Source organism: Homo sapiens, chromosome 3 (genome assembly GCF_000001405.40).
Source record: "Homo sapiens chromosome 3, GRCh38.p14 Primary Assembly".
Lineage (NCBI taxonomy): Eukaryota > Metazoa > Chordata > Mammalia > Primates > Hominidae > Homo > Homo sapiens.
Genome location: NC_000003.12, coordinates 120257324 through 120279845, shown reverse-complemented (window position 1 = coordinate 120279845; position 22522 = coordinate 120257324). Strand labels below are relative to the sequence as shown.

The 22522-nt window shown below is 39.6% G+C and overlaps 1 protein-coding gene across 4 annotated transcripts in view; it reads left to right on the top strand.

The window, feature by feature from the left end:
* Window positions 1-22522, top strand: part of GPR156 (G protein-coupled receptor 156) — a 119745-nt gene that overhangs the window by 5377 nt on the left and 91846 nt on the right. The window contains exon 1 of one of the 4 annotated variants that reach the window (XM_017005795.2): window positions 20990-21120. The exons of the other annotated variants lie outside the window; for them this stretch is intronic. The gene's annotated coding sequence lies outside the window, so the exon portion shown is untranslated. Of the gene's footprint in view, window positions 1-20989; window positions 21121-22522 lie in introns of those variants that run through there. 4 annotated transcript variants of the gene reach the window in all.

Below are 22522 nucleotides of genomic sequence, written 5' to 3'. Positions count from 1 at the left end.
CAGTGAGGAGCTTTGCATATGTGGAGATTAGCTAGAAAGCTCTGGAGTTCTGATGGTGAGAAGGGATTTCTTGGGTCAAGGATAGGAAAGGGCAAGGGAGGACCTTCATGATTCTCCCCAGGGCTTTGCTGGTTGGAATTGCTCTTCTGCTGCCATGGGTAGCATGGGGTTTCAGTGACTGAAAACACCCAGGAAAGTATGCTCTGGGTCTTCATGTTGCCATCTGCCTACACTGGAATGTCAGACCATCAGTCAGCACTGCCAGCTCTCCATCTTGATTTTCTAAGAGTTATTGAGAAAACCTTGAAAGGGAAGGCAGAAGTGGGTGTCTTAACTAGGGAAATGCCAAGGTCCTAAAGGTGTGGTCTAGGTTGAAGGTGTGGTAAGGGCCTGAAGTCATTGGTCTGGCAGTACTTCAGACCAATAAAGTCTTTCTTGGCTCTTATCTAAAATATTCCTGATTTTCTGTGTGAGGTGGAATCTCTCAAGTGCTGCATTAATCAGTCTTTTGGCTGAACAGGTAAATAGGGTGCATGCTTAATTGAGTGCCTTTTCTTTTTTTAAAGTTTCAGCTTTTATTTTACATTAAGAGGATACATGTGTAGGATTGTTCATGGGTAAATTGGACCCAGGCATAAGCACAGTACCCAATAGGTAGTTTTTCAACCCATGCCCCCTCCCTCCCTTCCCCCTGTAGTAGTCTGCAGTATCTATCTTTCCTGCGTTTATGTCCATGTGTGCTCAGTGTTTAGCTCCCACTTATAAGTGAGAACATGTGGTATTTTGTTTTCTGTTCCTGCATTAATTCACTTAGGATAGGCCTCCAACTGCATCCACGTTGCTGCAAAGGACATGATTTCATTATTTTTTATCCTATGGTGTTTATGTAGCACATTTTCTTCATCCAGTACACTGTTGATGAGTGCCTAGGTTGATTCCACATCTTTGCTATTGTGAATAGTGCTGTGATGCACATATGCAAGCATGTGTATTTATGGTGGAATGATTTATATTTCTTTGAATATATACCCAGTAATGGGATTGCTGGGTCAAAGGTAGCTCTGTATTTAAGTTTTTTGAGAAATCTCCAAACTGCTTTCCACAGTGGTTGTACTAATTTACATTCCCACCAACAATGTATAAATGTTCCCTTTTCTTCACAGCCTTGCCAGCATCTGTTGTTTTTTGACTTTTTAATAATAGCTATTCTTACTGGTGTGAGATGGTATCTTATTGTGGTTTTATTTGCATTTCTCTGATGATTAGTGATGCTGAGCATGTTTTCATGTCTATTGGCCACACTTGTATGCCTTCTTTTAAGAAGTGTCTTTTCATGTCTTCTGCCCACTTTTTAATGGAGTTATTTGATTTTTGCCTGTTGATTTAAGTTTCTTATATATTCTGGATATTAGACCTTTGTCAGATGCATAGTTTGTGAATATTTTCTCCCATGCTGTAGGTTGTTTACTCTTTTGATGGTTTCTCTTGCTGTGCAGAAGATCTTTAGTTTAATTAGGTCCCACTTGTCAATTTTTGTTTTTGTTGCAGTTCTTTCTGGGGACTTGGCCATAAATTCTTTGCCAAGGCCAATGTTGATAAGGGTATTTCCTAGGTTTTCTTCTATGATTTTTATAGTTTGAGGTCTTATGTTAAATCTTTAATCCATTTTTAGTTAGTTTTTGTATATGGTGAAAGGTAAGGGTCTAGTTTCATTCTTCTGCATATGGCTACCAGTTATCCCAGCACCATTTATTGAATAGGGAGTCCTTTCTCCATTGCTTGTTTTTTGTCAGCCATGTTGAAGATCAGATGGTTGTAAGCGTGCAGCCTTATTTCTGAATTTTCTATTATGTTCCATTAGTCTATGTGTCTCTTTTTGTACCAGTACCACCCTGTTTTGGCTACTCTAGCAAATTCTTTGGAATTAAGGAAAATAGGGACACAATTTATGAAGACCTCTGGGATGTAGCCAAAGCAATGTTAAGAGGAAAGTTTATAGCCGTAAATGCCTTCATCAAGAAGCTGGAAAGATCTCACATTAACAATGTAACTTTGCATTTAAAGGAACTATGAAAAAAGGACAAACCAACCCCAACTCTAGCAGAAGAAAAGAAATAACTAAAATTAAAGAAAAACTTAATGAAATTGAGATGCAACAATCCATATGAAAGATCAGTGAAACCAAGAATAGGCTATTTGAAAAAATAAATAAGATTGATAGACTGCTAGCTAGGTTAACAAAGCGGGAGGAGACAGTGAGAGAGAGAGAGAGGATCCAAATAAGTACAATAGAAATAACAAAGATGACATTACAACTGATCCTATAGAAATACAAAAGATCCTTGGAGAAAACTATGAACAGCTCTATGCACACAAATTAGAAAATCTAGAAGAAATCAATCAATTCCTGGAAACAATCTCTTGAGATTGAATCGGAGAGATTGAAGTCCTGAATAGACCAACATCAAACTCTGAAATTGCATCAGTAAAACAAACAAACAAACAAAAAAAACCCTTCCAACCATAAAAAGCCCTGGACCAGATAGATTCACAGCCACATTCTATGAGACATGCAAAGAAGAACTAGTACCAATCCTACTAAAACTTACAGAAAATAGAGGAGCAGGGACTCCTCCCCAATTCATCCCATGAAGCCAGCATCAGCCTAATACCCAAATCTGGCAGAGATATGATGAAGAGATATGATTTTTGTGTCTATGTTCAGACCAATATCCCTGATGAACATAGACACAAAAATCCTCAACAAAATACTAGCAAACCAAATTTAGCAGAACATCAAAAAGTTAATTCACCATGATCAAGCAGGCATTATTCCTGGGATGCATGGTTGGTTCAACATACACAAATCATAGTGAGTCACCATGTAAACAGAATTAAAAGCAAAAACCGTTATGATCATCTGTGTCATCTCAATAGACACAGAAAAAGCTTTTGATAAAATCTAACATCTCTTCATGATAAAAACTCTCAACAAACTAGGCATCGAAGGAACATACCTCAAAATAATAAGGGCCATCCCTGATAAACCTACAGCTAACATCATACTGAATGGGCAAAAGCTGGAACCATTCCCCTTGAGAACTGGAACAAGGCAAGAATGCCCACTCTCACCACTGCTATTCAAGGTAGTGCTAGAAGTCCCAGCCAGCACAGTCTGGCAATAGAAAGAAATAAAAGGCATCCAAATAAGAAAAGAAGAAGATGAACTATCTCCCTTTGCTGACGATATAATTCTATACTTAGAACACCCCAAAGACTGTTCCAAAAGGTTACTAGAATTGAAAAATGATTTTAGCAAGGTTTCAGGATACAAAATCAATGTACGAAAATCAGTAGCATTTCTAAACACCAATAACGTCCAGGCTGAGAGTCAAATCAAGAACATGATCCCATTTACGACAGCTGCAAAGAAAAGGAAATACCTAGGAATATAGCAAACCAAAAAGGTGAAAGAGCTCTGCAAGGAGAACTACAATACACTGCTGAAAAAAAGTTAGAAACAACACAAATAAATGAAAAAATATCCCATGCTCATGGATTAGAAGGATCAATATCATTAAAATGGTCATACTGCCCAAAGCAATGTATACATTCAATGCTATTCCTATCAAACTACTAACATCAGTCTTTACAGAATTAGAAAAAACTATTCTAAAACTCATATGGAACCCAAAAAGAGCCTGAATAGCCAAAGCAAGCCTGAGCAAAAAAAAAAAAACAAAGCCGGAGCATCACACTACCTGAGTGCCTTTTCTGAACAGATATTTCAATGATTCTGTGATTATTCATGAGCCAGTGATGGCTGCCTGCTTTTGGATGCTGCTAGGATAAATGCAGAAGATCAGAGTGAAGAGGGAGAGGGAAGCATAACAGCAGCAGAGAGGAAAAGGGAAGAGAGTAGTGACGTGCTGAAATCGCAGAGATTGTGGGTACCCAGTTATCTACAAGTGAGAAACAGGGATAAAAGAAGATCAAATAACTACCCATGGGAATTTTACATGCAAATATTGCTGACTTCCAAGGCAGCTGTGAGGAGAAAGGAAGGGAGGAGACACAAAGGCAGCTGTCACAGTCAATCCGAGGAATATTAATAAAAACTTGACACATGAAAACACATGGCCGTATCACAACAGCCTGGGTCCCAGCAAGGATGTCTATTCAAACCCCTCTTTCACATTTCCTTATATTCATTCACAGTATTAGGTATTTTGCAAGACATTCATTTGCACTTGCAAAGATACACAAATGCAGAGTACTTAAAAGGGTAAACTATCCTAAAATATTAGTGGTGAGATTATAAATGATTATTTGTATTTTTTCAACTTATCTATGTTTTCCATGATTGTTTTAAGAAGTGTGAATTTCTTTGATAATCAGAAAAACATTAAGGAGAAAGGGGGTTAAGTAGGGAGGTAGAGAAAGAGGCATGGGGTGGGGAGAGAGGATTGTAGAAAAGAAAAATATGTTGGAAGATGAATGAACAATTTTAAAACTTTATGTTTCACAGACTGCTAGCTTGTGCATATTTTTCTTTATTATTGAATATATATGTTTATCACCCTCAGAAGATCTGGAAGTACCAATTGGCATGAAACTGAATTGCAAATACTGAGCTAAGTATCACACCTCCAAGACCATTGCCTTGGCCAGTGCCATTCTGTGTGTGACATGTGGCTTCCAGTGATGCTCAAAGTATTTTCCGCCAAAGGCTAATAGAGAACACTTCAAACCTGGGCAGCAGCATCTCTCCCACAGGGTTTAATATTTATACTTGTAGCCACGTGGCTGGCTTTGTGCTTCTCATCTCTGAAGTATGGAACAGGAGCCAACAAAGGCTGTCAATAGTTGGAGTAGTGGGATTTTCCAAGACAAAAGCGTGAGTTATTCTCGTCCACGTGTTTGCTGGCTGCTCACTGGCTCAGGCAGCCCCTTGGCAAGCTCTGTGGCTGAGGCTTTAAATAAATAGATGTAGTTTTTGTTTCACAACCACTGACCTTTTCTGGAGGCACTGTTGATTCTGGGCTTTAATTGGCTTCTGTTGAGTGACACAAGGTGAACCCTCTCTTCAAGAGCAGAAGCTCCTATCTGCTGTTAACCACCAGCATCAATTCAAAGCAAATGCCAGAGGACCACATACCTCACTGAACTCTGGGGACTGGGGTTACTTGTAGTTATGTCTCAATAAATACTTTTTATATTTTAACTTTTGCATTTTTAAGTTGTAAAAGCTATACACACTCATGGTAACAAGTCTAGTAAGACAGCAGTATATAAAGAAAATATGGCCAGGCGCAGTGGCTCACCCCATAGTTCCAATACTTTGGGAGGCCGAGATGGGTGGATCACTTGAGGTCAGGAGTTCAAGACCAGCCTGGCCAACATGGTGAAACCCCATCTCTACTAAAAATTAGGCTGGGTGCGGTGGCTCACTCCTGTAATCCCATCACTTTGGGAGGCTGAGGCGGGTGGATCACAAGGTCAGGAGTTCAAGACCAGCCTGGCCAAGATGGTGAAACCCTGCCTCTACTAAAAATACAAAAATTAGCTGAGCGCAGTGGCAGGCACCTGTAATCCCAGCTACTTGGGAGGCTGAGGCCGGAGAATCACTTGAACCCGGGGGGCAGAGGTTCCAGTGAGCCGAGATCCTGCCACTGCACTCCAGCCTGGGCGACAGCATGAGACTCCGTCTCAAAAAAAAAAAAAAAAAAAAATTGGCCAGGTAAGGTGGCTCATGCCTGTAATCCTGGCACTTTGGGAGGCCGAGGTGGGTGGATCACCTGAGGTCAGGAGTTCGAGACCAGCCTGACCAACAAGGTGAAATCCCATCTCTACCAAAAATACAAAAATTAGCTGGACGTGGTGGCAGGCGCCTGTAGTCCCAGCTACTCGGGAGGCTGAGACAGGAGAATTGCTTGAACCAGGGAGGCAGAGGTTGCAGTGAGCCGAGATCGCACCACTGCACTACAACCTGAGCGATGGAGCGAGACTCTGTCTCAAAAAAAAAAATTAGTCAAGTGTGGTGGCGTGTGCCTGTAATCCCAGTTACTTGAGAGGGTGAGGCGGGAGAATAGCTCGAAATAGCTTGAACCCAGGAGGCAGAGGTTGCAGTGAGCCAAGATTGTGCCACTGCACTCCAGCTTGGGCTACCGAGGGAGACTCCATCTCAAAGAAAAAAAAAAAGAAAGAAAATATAAGTAATCTCCACCTTCTCTCACTCCCATCTTTCTGACAAAACCACTATTTAAAGCGCCCAGGCTGGGCGTGCGGGCTGACATCTGTAATCTGAGCACTTTAGGAGGCAGAGGCAGGAGGATAGCTTGGGTCCAGGAGTTCAAAACAGCCTGGACAACATAGTGAAACTCCGTCTCTATGAAAAAAAAAAAAAAATAGCCAAGTGGGTGGTATGTCATCCTAGCTACTTGAGAGGATGAAGTGGGAGGATCGCTTGAACCCAGGAGGTTGAGGCTGCAGTGAGCTGTGATCATGACATTGCACTCCAGCTTGAGTAACAGAGTGAGACCCTGTCTCAAAAAAAAAGTTTCATGTGTATTCACATGTCACGATCACAGCTCACTGCAGCCTCAACATCTCCAGCTCAAGGGATCCTTCCACCTCAGCCTGCCAAATAACTGGGACCACAGGCACATGCCACCACACCCGTCTAATTTTTAAACATTTTTGTAGAAACGAGGTCTCACTGTGTTGCCCAGGCTGATCTTGAATTCCTCGGCTCAAGTGATCCTCCCACCTCAGCCTCCCAAAGTGCTGGGATTATAGGCATGAGCCACTGCACTCAGCCCCTTCACTCCTTTTCTATGTTCAAACAAACATATGAGTGTGTAGACTTATTTTCTATTGTATGTGAAAATGGAATCATATATGTTATTATTTCTTTCATTTTATTTAGTACATATTATGTACATTATTCTAGATTAACACATATAATTGATCCAATTTATTATTTTTAATAGCTACCTAATATTCCATTATAGGAGGTTCCATAATTTCTTCCCATTCATTACTTCCCCATTGATAGATATTCATGTTTTTCTTCCAACTTTTTTTGCACAACAACTTATGCTACAATAAACATTCTACATTTATTCCTATACTTTGGGTTTTATTTCCATAGGAGAGATTCCCAAAATTGTCATTTTTGGGTCAAAGGGAATACACAATTTTAATTCTCACTGTAGGTCTCCTTTACAGCAGTTGTTTCTCTCCTCCTTTTGTCTTTCTCTCCCCTCTCCCACCACATTTTGCCAGCAGGGCCTGTGTGTTTAAGAAGGAAAGCCTGCAGTGAGAACTCCTCTGTGCCAAGTGTGGATTATATCAGCTTAGTGGGGAACTGGAGTCTGCAGTGTCTCAGTTACATTGTGTCTCTCTTGCTTTTGGTTGGCCAGACTGTTCACAATTCCCCTTGCTGATTTATTCCATGCTGTGGAATTATACATGGTCTTCATCCGTGGCAGGATCATCTGAGGGGTGGCTTTTTGGGAAGGGTGTCTTTTCAGAAAGAATAGGCTCAGTTACTGTACTTTCTCACAAAGCTATATCTGTTATGTTTTTTTGTTATGCCCTTTCTTTAATAGTTGGATTGAAAAAGGTTCTTCAATTCCCATCCCGGTCTTCTGTCTTCATTTTGAGGACTTGGGATTTAGGGAGTTTTATGAGTATATAATCAATCAACTGTAACTGATTATTTGACATGAGGATAATTAGTTAAGAAGGTAGGGGTCTTGGAGCTTAAGGATCAGTGCCAAGCAACAGACGTGAACATTTTTAAACAAATGGTTTTAACAAACCCGGTATTAGGAGCAAGCTTCCCAGGAGTACTAAGCTTTCATTTTTTAATTTTGCCCTTGCTGGGATGTAAAACTTCAGTCTAGTCTACCAGAATAGAGAGGAGCTGGATTCTCCACCACACCAGGGCTGGAGAGGAGAAAATGTCAGAGAAGCGTTAAGGGAAGCTGGTAAGTACAAATAAGTGAAATAAATATAAACAGTGAACTGACAAAATGGCAAAAAGTGAATGAAATTTGAAAATCCTCAGCTGAAGATTATTGTGTAACCAGTGGTCCTGTGAGCTAGTGGACACTTTATAAAAATCTGTGATCTCTAAAACATATTAGATACCCCAGTGTGAATCTGTGTTCAGAATACAACCATTAGCTAAGCAAGACAGAGAAATGATAAGTCCTGTTGGCAGATATTTTGCTATTGACTTCTATAACATATGCTGCAATTTTTACTCAGCAGCTTTGGAATGGATTTCTATGTCCTAGGTTGAAAACTAAACTAAAAGAAAAACAGAATAGAAGTTACTGCACTTAATTTCTAAGGAGAAAATTTTAACTTTAGTTTGTGCATGTATATGCCTGCAAAATAAGCATTACCCTTTATGTTAATACAAACTTCACATGAATGTTTAATTTTCAAATATGCACTGACCAGTAATAATGATGGCAAAATTAGACTCTATAGTAGGTTTATGTTTTATAACTTAGGGATTCTATAATGTATCTTAGTTGATGTCGTAGTTAATAGTAAGGATAGTAATATCTTATACAGTTTGCACTGTCGTCTGAGTAAAGATTATCTTTAAACATTTGTTCCTGTCAGAAAAATTTTAAGGCTAAACCTATTATAAGATATTAAGCATCTGATTTTGGCTATAATGGACTATCTGTGAGTAGATTTTTACTCCTATACAGGACATCTAGAAAAGCTGAGTTTTAAAAATCTATTTGAAGGCATAGAAGACCTAATAAGGCAGCTAGGACTTGAGAGCTAAGACCTCAGAAAGAAGAGAAACTCATTGAGTGTTCCAAATTCTAGGCTACTTTTTCCCTGTAGACACTTACCATTTTTAAGTAGCACATGAGGAGAACCCAAACAATAAGCAGCTGCTAAAATCAGAGAAGCCAGGCAGATTATTCCACAGTCTGATAGGGCTGGGGAGGAAAAAAAAAAATTGAATTCAAGGAAACCAAATGATTCAGGACATGAGAAACCATGATCATGGACAGAAAAGAGGCCCAGAAAAATCAACTCAATAGTCTAAGCAATTTTCCTTCCAAGTCATTCACTGATTTATAAGTAGCGCAGACCAAGAGGTTGCAAAAATCCAAACACAAAGAAGGTGCTAAAAAGCTGAGAAGCTAATCAGAGCTACTTGCAATCTTATTACACTAGGAAGATAAAAATTATTATAGAATGTAAAGCCCACCAATGTGGTATGGCCTGAAAAACACCCTAAGCTTTCAGTTGGGACTGCTGACGGATTATGCCTGACCAGTTAAAGGAAACCAGAAATAGACCCGGTCAAATAAAATATTGAAGTCCATTTCCCGATCAACTTAGTCACTGATTAGATTAAAGTAATCTGTTCTTATTTTAACACCCTAGCATAAGTCTTCTCCATATTCTTTGGAGAAGAAAAAATGATCCAGAACCTGTGTATTTTTCATATGTGGTTTCTGGTATTCAGCAAAGCAAAACAAAACAAAAACAGGCATACCAAGATATAGTTTCCAGAATATGGTACAGAGAGAACCCAGACTTCCTGAGTTGAGAAGACAGAGCTCCCCATGTCTGGGGAGACCAGGGCAACTAGAGTTTGTAGGACAGAGTATTGGAGAGGAGAGAGCTGCAGAGAGAACCCCAGAGTTCCTCACAGGGTACACCTCAAGTATAAAGCTGAGTACTGAGCAGCACATGCATGTAAGGAAACTACCTGGGATAAAGAAAGAACTACCCAAAAGGATTAGAAGAAATAGTGCTCATTGTTCACACAGGGCTGGGAATTGTGCCTATTCCCACCAGCTAGACTTGAAAAGCTCATAATTCATGGAGGGTTGGGTAGTATACTTTGAAAGACCATGCCTTAGTAGTGGGAAGTAGCCCTAGATTGAGCACTGCACTGATCCTGTCTAACAAATCTTTTAAAAAGACCCAAAAGGAACAAATTGTTCCAGTTAATTTGACTGCATCCCAGAACAAAGCTCAAAACTATTTAGAGGTATTTGGAATAGCAGTATTAGTAATATTGCAGAGGGAAGAATATTGCCAGGGATAAAGAAAATCATTTCATAATGATAAAGGAGTTGATTCATCAGAAAGACATAACAGTACTAAACATTTATGCATCTAATAACAGAACTTCAAAATACATAAATGAGAAATTGATAGTGTTCCAAGGAGGAATAGACAAATCCATAACTGTAGTCCAAAGTTTCATTAACCTTCTCTCAGTAATTGATGAAATAACAGAAAATAATTAGGTATATAAAAGAAGATAAAAATACAATCAACTAGCTTGACCTCATTGATCTTTATAAGATACTCTACCCAGCTACAGCAAATACATATTCCTCTCAAGTGTACATGGAACATTTATCCAGTTAGACCATATTCTGAACCATAAAACAAGTCTCAATAAATTTAAAAGGATTTTAGTTATATAAGGTGTGTTCTTGATCACAATGGAATTAATTAAGAAATCAGTAACAAAATTCTCAAATATTTGGTAACTAAATAACATCCTTCAGAATAACTCATTAGTCAAAGGAGAAATCAAAAGGAAAATTAGGGCCGAGTGGAGTGACTCACATTTGTATTCCTAACACTTTGGGAAGTTGAGGCAGGAGGATTGCTTGAGGCCAGGAGTTGAAGATCAGCCTGGGCAACAGAGTGAGAGCCTGTCTTTAAAAAAAATAGAAAAAAAAAATTAGCTGGGCATGGTGGTGTGCACTCATAATCCCAGCTACTTAGCTGGAGGATTGCTTTAGCCTAAGAGTTTGAGGTTGCAGTGAGCTATGATCATGCCACTGCATTCCAGCCTGGGCAGCAGAGTGAGACCCTGTCTCTAAAAAAATTATTTTTAATAAAAAATAAAGGGAAATGAGAAAATATTTGGGGCTGAAAGTAAAAGCTCATATATCAAAAGCAGTACTTAGGTGGAATTTTATAGTATTATAAGCTTATAAGGTGGGGCACAGTGGCTCACGCTGGTAATGCCAACACTGTAGGAAGTCGAGACAGGCGGATTGCTTGAAATCAGGAGTTCGGGACCAGCTTTGACAACATGGCAAAACCCTGTTTCTATAAAAAATACAGAAAATTAGCTGGGTATGGTGGCACGTGCCTGTAGTCCCAGCTACTTGATGGGGGCTGAAGCAGGAGGATCACTTGAGCCCAGGATTTCGAGGCTGCAGTGAGCCGAGATCACACCACTGCACTCCACTCCAGCCTGGGTAACAAAGTGAGACCCTGTCCCCCCACACCCCCGCAAAAAAAAGCTTATAAGAAGAAAGGTCTCAGATTAGTGTCCTCAGCTTTCATCTTAAGAAACCAAAACAGAAAAAGAGCAAATGAAATTCAAAATAAGCAGAAGAAAGAAAATAAGAAATATCAAAGCAGAAATCAATAAACTAGATTTTGAAAAGTAGAGAAAATCAATGAAAGCAAATGCTGTTTCATTGAGAATATTAATAAAATTGATTAACCTCTTGACAGAAAACAGGAGGAGGAAAAAGAGAGGAGTTACAATTTACCAATATCGGAATGAGAGAGGTGACATCACTACAAATTCTACAGATACTAATGGATAATAAGGAAACATTATAGCTTTTCTCCAATAATTCCATCAACTTATTAATAGATGAAATGAACAAATTCCTTGAAAGACACAAGCTACCAAAGTTCACTGAAGAGGTAGTAGAGAATGTAAAAGCCCAGATCTATTATAGACAGTCTCGAAAGTTAGAAATAGAAGAGAACTTCCCTAGCCTGATAAAGGGAATCTATGCAAAACGTGCACCTAACATCATATTTAGTGGTAAAGCAAATAGTAATATAATCGATTTTTTTTCTTTTTTGAGACAGAGTCTTGCTCTTTCACCCAGGCTGGAGTGCAGGGGCGCGATCTTGGCCCACTGCAACCTCCACCTCCCGGGTCCAGGCGATCTTCCTGCCTCAGCCTCCTCAGTAGCTGGGATTACAGGCACATGCCACCACACCCTGCTAATTTTTGTATTTTTAGTAGAGACAGGGTTTCACCATGTTGGTCAGGCTGGTCTTGAACTCCTGACCTCGTGATCCACCCACCTTGGCCTCCCAAAGTGCTGGGATTACAGGCGTAAGCCACTGCGCCCAGCTTTTTTTTTTTTTTTTTTTTTTTTTGAGATGGAGTCTTGCTCTGTCGCCCAAGCTAGAGTGCTGTGGCGTGATCTTGGCTCACTGCAACCTCCAACTCCTGGTTCAAGTAATTCTCCTGCCTCAGCCTCCTGAGTAGCTGGGATTACAGGTGCCCACCACCATGCCCAGCTAATTTTTTTATTTTTAGTAGAGAATGGGTTTCACCATGTTGGACCAGGCTGGTCTCGAACTCCTGGCCTCAGGTGATCCGCCCACCTTGGGATCACCAAGTGTTGGGATTACAGGCGTGAGCCACTGTGCCTGGCCTGCCTAGACTTTTAACTTATTTGTGTAATTACTTCAAGTATAGATTACTCCAATTTAAACACAAAGATTGTGAAACTAGATGAAGAATAAACATATTCAAAATGATTATTAAATGTTTTAATTGGTGACAGAGTTTTTCATAGCCTTTTATCATCTCAGTGCATCATGTTTTATTTGTAGGTAGCCACAGAGAAACAGCTACATTTATAAGAACACCATGAAGAATAATTAAAATGTTCTTTTTTTTTTTTTGAGACAGAGTCTTGCTTTGTCACCCAGGCTAGAGTGCAGTGGCAAGATCTTGGCTCACTGCAACCTCTACCTCCTGGGTTCAAGTGATTCTCCTGCCTCAGCCTCCCTAGTAGCTGAGATTGCAGGTGTGGACCACTACACCTGGCTAATTTTTTGTATTTTTAGTAGAGATGGGGTTTCACCATGTTGGCCAGGCTTGTCTTGAACTCCTGACCTCAGGTCGATCCACCTGCCTTGGCCTCCCAAAGTGTTGGGATTACAGGTGTGAGTGACCACACCTGGCCTAAAACATTCTTTTATCCCTGACTTCAGCTGAGTTTAGTTTGAAATGAGGCTCTTTATTTGGGGTGATTGGGCTTTGCAGGAGGGTTGGTGGGTGGCCTATAATTCCCCCCAATATTGTATGTAAGATATTACATGTTTGTATACAGTTTTTCAGGAGAGAGTCCGTAGCTTTCATCAGTCTCTCATGACCAAAAACTATTTAAGAATCATGGCTTGAAGAATGAAAGAATCGAGTGCCATGTTAAGTGTCTAATTTCTCAATAATACTTCCCTGAAACTAATTTCTAGAGAATAATTCAAATGACTTGATCTAAATATGTGTGCATGAGTCATCAAAGCAGCCTGGAGTAACATATTAAAAGTTATCCCAAGGGTCTGTCTGGTTCAAACTCTGATGAAAGCCCTATATTTCTTATCCTGGACTGGGTTTCTCATAGTATGATTCCCAGATCAGCAGCAGCATCAGCATCACCTAGGAACTTGTTAGAAATACAAATTCTCAGGCCGGCCCCAGGCCATACCTACTGAGTTACAAATTGGAGATGGGACCAGGAATCGGTGTTTTCTAAGGAGCTTTCCAGGTGATTCTGGTGTGCACTAAAGTTTGATAACCACTGGGTTAGGCTATAATTAGAAAATCCTGTTCTCCGCCCCGCTCCCAAGCCAGGTTTAGAACAGTTTGTTAAGCAAGTATCTGCAGAAAGACCAGTCTAATGTTGACAGCTTCTATTTTCCATCTTTATGGAAAAATCGTAAAGCCTCAAAAGCCCAAATCACCCTCACACAAGTGTCTTGGGTTGCACAGCAACACCAAACAACAGTTTAGAGTAATCCAATGTCCAGCTGAAATTGGAATTATAGAGACACAGCATGTGAGTTCACTCACAAAAATTTTTACCAGGAGGCTTTTTAGGGATGAGCCCCGTAATTCCAAGGGCCTTGGCTCTCAGCCTCCTTTGAGGCATATAACACAGTCTCTTGAACAGACTGACCCTCAGTAATGAGGTTTCATTACCCTCTTCCAGACATGTGGCACCCTCACAAACATCCTTTAACAGAGTGCTCAGTATCACCATGCTTCGTTTGCAAAGTAACTTAATGAATTCGCTCAGCCTATATTCTTAGTACCCAGTGGTAGGGATCTCAGCTGTAGCAGCATAAAACTTGAACTGTCCAAAACCAGTCTCTGAAACCTTCAAGTGTTTATTCTGTCTACTCCTGCTGTTGCTTGAAGCTTGATTTGTTGTTACACCTTACTGTTTTGCTGATGAGAAATAGCACAGGGTACTTCTCAGTGGTTCTCATTAAAGGAGGGCAGCCAAGTGGAATTCATTCTTGGCTCTTAATAGTTTTCAAATGAGAATTTTATTGCATACTAATGAGCACTAATTGACATTTGTGACTGTTTTTTATGGAAATAATGCATGTACAATTTGCATAATAGTACCTAAGTGCTTTTAGGTAACAGTACAACTCTGGGAAGTTGGTGAAGGTTTTTGTATGATGCTTTTTAAAAAAGTTCCCAAACCCCAGCCCCTAGAATAGTATAGAATATTAACAGGTCTCTGGGATCCAAATATAAGGCAGTAGTAGTGACTCAGTTCCTGTAGTTGTACCAGCTTGTACCTGAGAGTCAGAAAATGCATCAGGGCAGGTCTCTAAAAGCAGGAAGCGCTCCCACAGTAGCCAGGGAGGATGTTCCAGCCCTCTCTACCTTCATGTGTCAACCCTCCTGCTTCTCCTAAGTCATGAGTATCTAGACAGTGCTGAGGATTGTTCCAAGGACTCCTACACTGTAAAATGTTTTCTAAACATCACTTGGTTGATATCAACAAACATGGATTGATCACCTACTATGTGCCAGGCACTGTGCTAGATGCCAGAGTAAGCCCATGTTGGCTTGCTGCCTGCTGCATCCCTATCTCTTAGCACAATGAGGCAACAGTTATCCATCAATGTTTATTGAATTAATGAACATGCTGTCTGCCCTCAGGGATCTGAGGATTCATTATTCTTACAAAATCTGACGTTGAATACAGTATAAAATTTGTTGCTCTTCATGTTAGAAATATTAATTATTCAGAACTTGGAATTCTGTTAGGAAATTTAGAGAAACAAGATAATCTTGGTTTTATGTGCCCCAAGTTTTCTGTATATCAAATGACCCTTTTAAATTTTGTGAAAATGAAAGAAGCCAATGTTTACTGAAGATCTAGTACGTATCAGTTACTTTTGCACACATCCTATACATCCTATGATTTAAGCATCAACAAAACCTATGAGGTGTAGATAGTATTATCTGTGTTTAATTGAGCAAGCAGCTAAGAACTGGAGAAGTGACTAACCTAAGGCATCACAGATAGAAAATTGTGGAACTGGGACTTAAATTCAGCCTAGGCTGTGTCTGTTGCACTGCCGCTTATTACATTAAATGATCCTAGGATATGTTAAGCAAAGCCAAACTCTGAAGTATTGTACTAGTGATACGGCTCCGATGACTGGAGGAACACTGGGGTTCTTGGTCTCATGCCGGTTTGGATAAAATGACATGGACACACGTGGAGTGGTTTTAGGGAGGGAAAAGTTTAATAGGCAGGAAAGCAGGAAGGAAGAAGAAAACAGCTCCCCGGTACGGGGAGAGAAGTAGGGGGATTCAAACAAAGAGAAAACCTCATGTGCGGCAGAAAAGTGGCTGCTTATATGAGGATGCAGGAGGAGGTGGTGTCTGATTTGCATAGGGCTCAGGGGATTGGTTTGACCAGTCATGTCATTCCTGCAGCCTGTGAAAAAACTGACCCTCCCACCCTAGCTTTTTAATATGCAAATGCAGGGCGCCATTATGTTTTACACACATGGGGACATGTGGGGGTGGCCATGTTGCCAGGCACATGTAGGGGCAAGGGCAAGAAGATGGCAGGAATCACCATGTTTGGATGGACCCAGTTTCTAATGGCTGGCATTTGCATATCAAAGCTTGCTGGCCCAGCTCAGAGCCGGGGCTTTCCTGCTAGACAAGAAACGTTTCTGGAGCTGCTTTAAAAGAAATAAAAACTCCCCAAGGACCCCTTTTCCTCTCTATCTGCCTAAAATAATTTATTAATAACTCCTGTAACACTAGGATGGAGGGATGAATTGGTCCAGGGGTCTTGGTGTGTGCCCTGCATTCAGTTGACCTACTGTTTACAATACACCTACTGTTTACAACACTATTTTCTAGATCTTGTGGGGAACCCAAACCAAGGGCCAGTCTGGCTCACCTATAATTCCACCAAGCAGCCAGAAAAGTATAAACGCTCTACAGCAAAGGGATAAATCAAGGTTTAGTAGAAGAAAAGCTTTATAAGTAATGTGGAACTAAAAGGTTGAATATAGTTTTCAATAATGTTGAGCATAAATGTTCTCCAGATTGTGGAAAGATCACTAACTGTTGGCTGGGAAGGGTAGGAGAGGAGAGAGTTTGAAACACAGAGAATAGGAAGGAGTGGTGATGTAGTCCAATAACTCACCCAGAACCCATGGACGTGAAAGCTTTGTTTGCTCTCAGATCCATAACTAGACTAAAGGAGTGAATCAGATCTGCTCCCCTGCACCCCACCCTGCTCACCTTCCACACCTGCCAAGGGCCACCCAGCAATTCCATTCTGCTTGTCAAATCCCCTAAGGAGGATATGTCTGGAACAGCCACCACTCCTCCCCCTGCTCTTCCCTCTGGTATGTCAGGATTCCCTGCACAACCGTGCTCCAGGGTCCTTGGGATGATTATTCAGAAACCAGAGAAGTATGTAGAAAACTTAATCGGAGGCACTTAAAGGCTTTAAAAGGGAATTTTAAAAACCATCTTTCCCTCTTTTATAAGGCAGTCTGAGTATTTAAGAAGCAAATTAATTGAGTCCACTTTACAGTGTTGGGGCAAAAGCATGCAAGTTCCAACATTTACACACTAACAGAAAATTCTTTTCCCTTCCACTGTGCTCCTTTTCTTTCTTGGGCCTGCTCCACAAACTTCTAACCACAGTCCTAAATTGGTACCCCATGACCCTGTGTGCTTCGATTGCCTACACTGGTTTCAGACCCACGCTGTGGATTCAAATCAAACCTGCCTTTCTCCCTGTTACTATGTCCACCCAGCACCCTCCTTGCACACACAGTCTTTCTCTTCTTTCCTCCATGTGCAGACCTTTACCACAGCTGTCCCAAATGTGTGAAAGGCCAACCATAACTCTTCCTTTAAAGGTCCTTTAGAGCAGTATGGAAAGAGTGCTGAACTTGGAAGACCTAGATTCTCTTTCTATACTCATTATGTGATCCTGAGCCCCTCACTTAACCTTGCAGGGCACTTACAAAATAAAGAGATGGAGTTCATGATATCTTAAGGTCATTTTCCATGTCCAACATTCTCTGACTCTTCATCTTTCCCTGACTCAACATTCTGTTCCTATATAGTCAACACCTTCCCACCTTAATCTCATGCTCATGCCCTCTTAGAAAGTCTTTACAACTGTTGAGGGTGCAGTGGCTCATGCCTGTAATCCCAGTACTTTGGGAGGCCAGAGTGGGCAGATTGCTTGAGCTCAGGAGTTTGGGACCAGCCTGCATAACATGGTGAAACCCCGTCTTTATTAAAAATACAAAAAAAAAAAAAAAAAAGCCAGATGTGGTGGTGCTTGCCTGTGGTCCCAGCTACTCAGGAGGCTGAAATGGGAGGATCACTTGAACCCAGGAGGCAGAGGTTGCAGTGAGCTGAGATCATGTCATTGCATTCCAGCCTGGGTGACAGAGAGACACCCTGTCTCAATTTAAAAAGAAAAAAAAGAAAGAAAGCGGCGGGCCGCGGTGGCTTACACCTGCAATCCCAGCACTTTGGGAGGCCGAGGCAGGTGGATCATCTGAGGTCAGGGGTTCGAGACCAGCCTGGCCAGCATTAAGAAACTCTGTCTCTATTAAAAATACAAAAATTAGCTGGGCATGGTGGTGGGCACCTATAATTCCAGCTACTCAGGAGGCTGAGGAAGGAGAATCGCTTGAACCCGGGAGGTGGAGGTTGCAGTGAGTTGAGATCGTACTATTGCACTCCAGCCTGGGCAAGAAGAGTGAAACTCCATCTCAAAAAAAAAAAAAAAAAAGAAAATATTTGCATCTGTGAACTGTCTTCTGTGTTGAGGATGTTTGTGGCAGAAGGAGATAGACGTAGGCTCTGTCTACGTCTGCCTGGTGCCTCCACAAGGAGCAGTGTATGCTCAGAGAATAGAAGTGAATTTTACTATTAGTATAGGTGACCCATATTGAAAATGTTTGTAAATCTGCTACCAGAACAACACAGTCATTCAAAGACAATTAAAAATGCATTTTATACTTCCTGCTATTTATAATTATTCATGGATCTGCTGCCTACAGTCAGGTAGTAAAAGGAGAGCCAGAAGGAATCATAGTGAACATCTCATACAATGCTATCTTTGTTGTTGGTTTGAACATAAGCATTTTTGCGTGAATTTGCGTGTAGGTCTCTTTTATTTCTCTTATTGCATAACCTGAGGCTGAAATACTTCAAGTAATGTATCTATTTGCTCATATTGGGTAGAAACATCCCTATTATTCCAATTTTCCCTTCTCCTGCTTAAAACATATAGTGAAATGAAAGATGCAGAGATAAGGAAATCAGGGAAAAGAAAAATAGTCATAGGATACTAAAATGAGCCACAGATACCTGAAACTGCATAGTTGCTATAAATGAGCCATAAATTTGATTCTGAGCTTTCCAGTGGCCCCAAAAAGATAAACATAATAGTATTTATTCCATGACATAAAAATGTATTTGTATTTCTCTGTGTTCAAGAGGAAGAGAAATTTGTACTATGGGTCCTCATGAAGGAGCCACTAAGTCAGTGTTGTAGACCACACATTCAACGATATCGTATTAATACCCATGATGATGAATTCATTCATTCAATAAGCATTTATTGAGTACTTACTTTGTGCTGTATATGTTTCAGTGTATTGCAGTAATTATTCTTTTTGATGCTCAAATTGTCCTATTGTGGGTCAGTAGGAGCCCGTTGATTCATGTCCTTTTGACATTATTCTGTAGTTTTTGATACTTTTTTTCCTAGCATGATGAGATGTTCCAGGCTTATGTCGTATATTTCTTGTTCCGTAACTCAAATTGACCATTTTGTTAATGAAACTTGATTTTTTTCAGTGAAAAGTGGTTTTATAGAACACAATCTGGGCACTTGAAGTGTTTATTGTTACTGGGTTGTCATTACTTACAAGACTCAGTTAACAAATTAGGAAAAAGATTGATTTAGAAAGAAAATAAATCCTGAGTTCATATTGTTATTTCCAATTTAAAGATTAAAGGGTTTTCGTATAACTTATTTTATATGTGTATGTCTTTTCTCTTACTTTGAAATCTTGGTTTCCAATAACATGAACATAATTACTTCCTTTATCCTAATAGGTACGTATATGTGTATATGTCTATGTATGTATGTATGTAGGTATGTATGTGTGTATGTTTCTATCTGTAAAACAGGAAAAATACCCACCTAATGGAGCTTAAGATTTCTTTATGAGTATTTTTTGTCCTTAGGGTATTTAATCAAATTACTGTTACTTAAAATAATGTTTCTCTATGTGGTTATGCCATCAACTTCATATACAATTATTTTATTTCAATTTGTCTTCGATTTTTAAGGATGGTTTTCTTCTTCTGATTTAATTTTGTTTTTAAATTATGTAAAATATTTTCTTGGTTTCAGAGTCAAATCTATGAACATTGAGAGGTCTATTTTGCCTCTCTGTCCCCTCCCCCTTATTATTTTACTCCCCTTATAGATAATGCTTTTATTTTTCCATTACTTTTTTTTTTTTTTTTTGGAGACAGGAGTCTCGTTCTGTCACCCAGGCAGGAGTACGGTAGTGTGATCTCGGCTCACTGTAACCTCCACCTCCCAGGTTCAAGCAATTATCCTGCCTCAGCCTCCTAAGTAGCTGGGACTACAGACACTGACCACCATGCCTGGCTAATTTTTGTATTTTTAGTAGAGACAGGGTTTCACTGTGTTGATCAGGCTGGTCTCAAACTCCTGACCTCAAGTGATCCGCCTGCCTTGGCCTCCCAAAGTGCCGGGATTACAGGTGTGAGCCACCGTGCCCAGCCTCTATTACTTTTTGAAAATAAGCCAATGACCTATATGTATCCTATCTCCTTTCTTACACAAAAGGTAGCAGGCCAGAGTTCAAGATTACAGTGAGCTGTCATCATGCCACTGCACTTTAGCCTGGGCAACAGAGTGAGACCTTATCTCTAAAGAAAAACAAACAATAAAAAATTTTAAAAATAATTTCTATGAATTAAAAATAATTTTAAACACAACTGCATATGAAGACAACAAAGGAAAACTCTCAGGAAACACTGAAATATGAAAATCAAGTGAGATTAGAGCAAATAAGGATGTGTATGGGAAGGTTCTGTAGAAGACAGATTGAGGCCCAAACAGAGAGAGCTCTAAATACATCATGAAGGTTACCAGAAATGTGAGAAATTCCTGAAGAAGAGGGAAGAAGCAAATCCTCTCCAAATTTAGTTCACTTAGTTGATAATCATTAGTTGATTCCCAGTAGAGTCAGTCTTTTATCATCAGTGCCACCACTGTTGTTCTCTGCATTAACAAAGGAGATATTAATCTGGAAAGCTGCAATCATTTTCACTGTAGAATCAGCCTTTTATTTTTTAGGGTTTTTTAATTTTTTTTTTTTAGGACACCTTCATTTAAGATCACTTCATATCTCCTCTGGCTTTTGCAAATGCTCTTTGGCTGATCTACTGTTTCCACCACTGTCCTCAACATTTTTTAGTATATTATTTAATTTATGTATGTATTGGTGTCCACTGATTATTGTTTGCCTTCCCCCATTGGAACACAGATTCTATAAAAGTAGGGATCTTTATTTTGTTTACCACTGTATTCCAGGTGCCTAGAACAGTTCCTTTCACATTGTTGGTGCTCAAAAAGAAAAAAGTTAAATGAATGAATATCAGCAGCAAGAGCATTTTGAGGAGAAAGCAAAGGTGTAACTGTGGGGGTCTCCATTAATGTATGTATATCATCCTCTTATACATTTGTCCCATCACCCGCTAGCCCTGGAACTCTCATTATTTTTTTTTCTGGTAATGCAGGCTCCAACTCAACTGGCAATGAGAATATGAACTGAGGCAACTGTATTTGAAAAATGAAAGAATATAGGTGATATGGGTTTAAAGAATTCAGTATTTGTGTATTTTTCCAATAAGTACATGCTTATGAGCATAGCCTTACAAAATAACAAAAATAATTTTTTACATTTACTCACACACTTACCATTTCCAGCACTCTTCATTCCTTTGTATAGATCCAAATTTGTATCTGGCATCATTTTACTTCTGCCTAAAGAACTAACTCTAACATTTTTTTATAGTGCATGTCTCTCAGATTTTCTTTGTCTGAAAATTACTTTATTTTAACTCCATTTCTGAAATACATTTTCAGTGGGTATTGTATTCTGGGCTGACTTTTTTTTTTTTTCCCAGTGCTTGAGAGATGCCATTCCATTCTCTTGTGGCTTTCATTATTTTTGATGAAAAATCAGTTGTAAGTCTTACTCTTGTTCCTCTGTACATAATCTGACTGCTGCTTCTAAAATTTTATCTTTATTGCTGGTTTTTAGCAATTTCTGTGCCTTGTTTTGTTTTTGTTATTTAGTGTTTGTTCTGCTTGGGATTGGTTGAGCTTGGATCTGTAGGTTTATACTTTTCATCAAATACGAAAAATTTTGGTCATTATTTTTCAAATATTTTTTCTACTCCTCCCTCCTCACTTTTTCCCCCTCAAACAGCAGTTACATGTATGTCAGACAACTTGCTATTATTCTATAAGTCATTGAGACAATGTTCATTCTTTTTTATTTTTAATTTTTGTGGGTAAATAGGTGAATATATTTAGGGGTTCATGAGATGTTTTGATATAGGCATGCAATGTAAAATAAGCACATCATGGAGAATGGGGTATCTATTCCCTTAAGCATTTATTCTTTGAATTAAAAACAATCCACTTACACTCTTATCACTTCTCAGCCTTTTGGGATAAGATCATGTGTAAAAACAATGTACTTACACTTTTCATTTTAAAATGTACAATTAAGTTATTATTGACTATAGTCACCCTGTTGTACTATCAAATAGTAAGTCTTACTCATTCTAACTAATTTTTTATAAACTTTAACTATACCCACTTCTCCTCCCACCTCCCACTCCCTTTCCAACCTATGGTAACCATCCTTCTATACTCTGTTCATGAGTTCACTTGTTTTGATTTTTAGATCCCACAAATAAATAAGAAGATGTGATGTTTGTCTTTCTGTGCTTGGCTTATTTCACTTAACGTAATGATCTCCAGTGCCATCCATGTTGTTGCTAATTACTGGACCTAATTCTTATACATGGATGAATAGTACATCATTG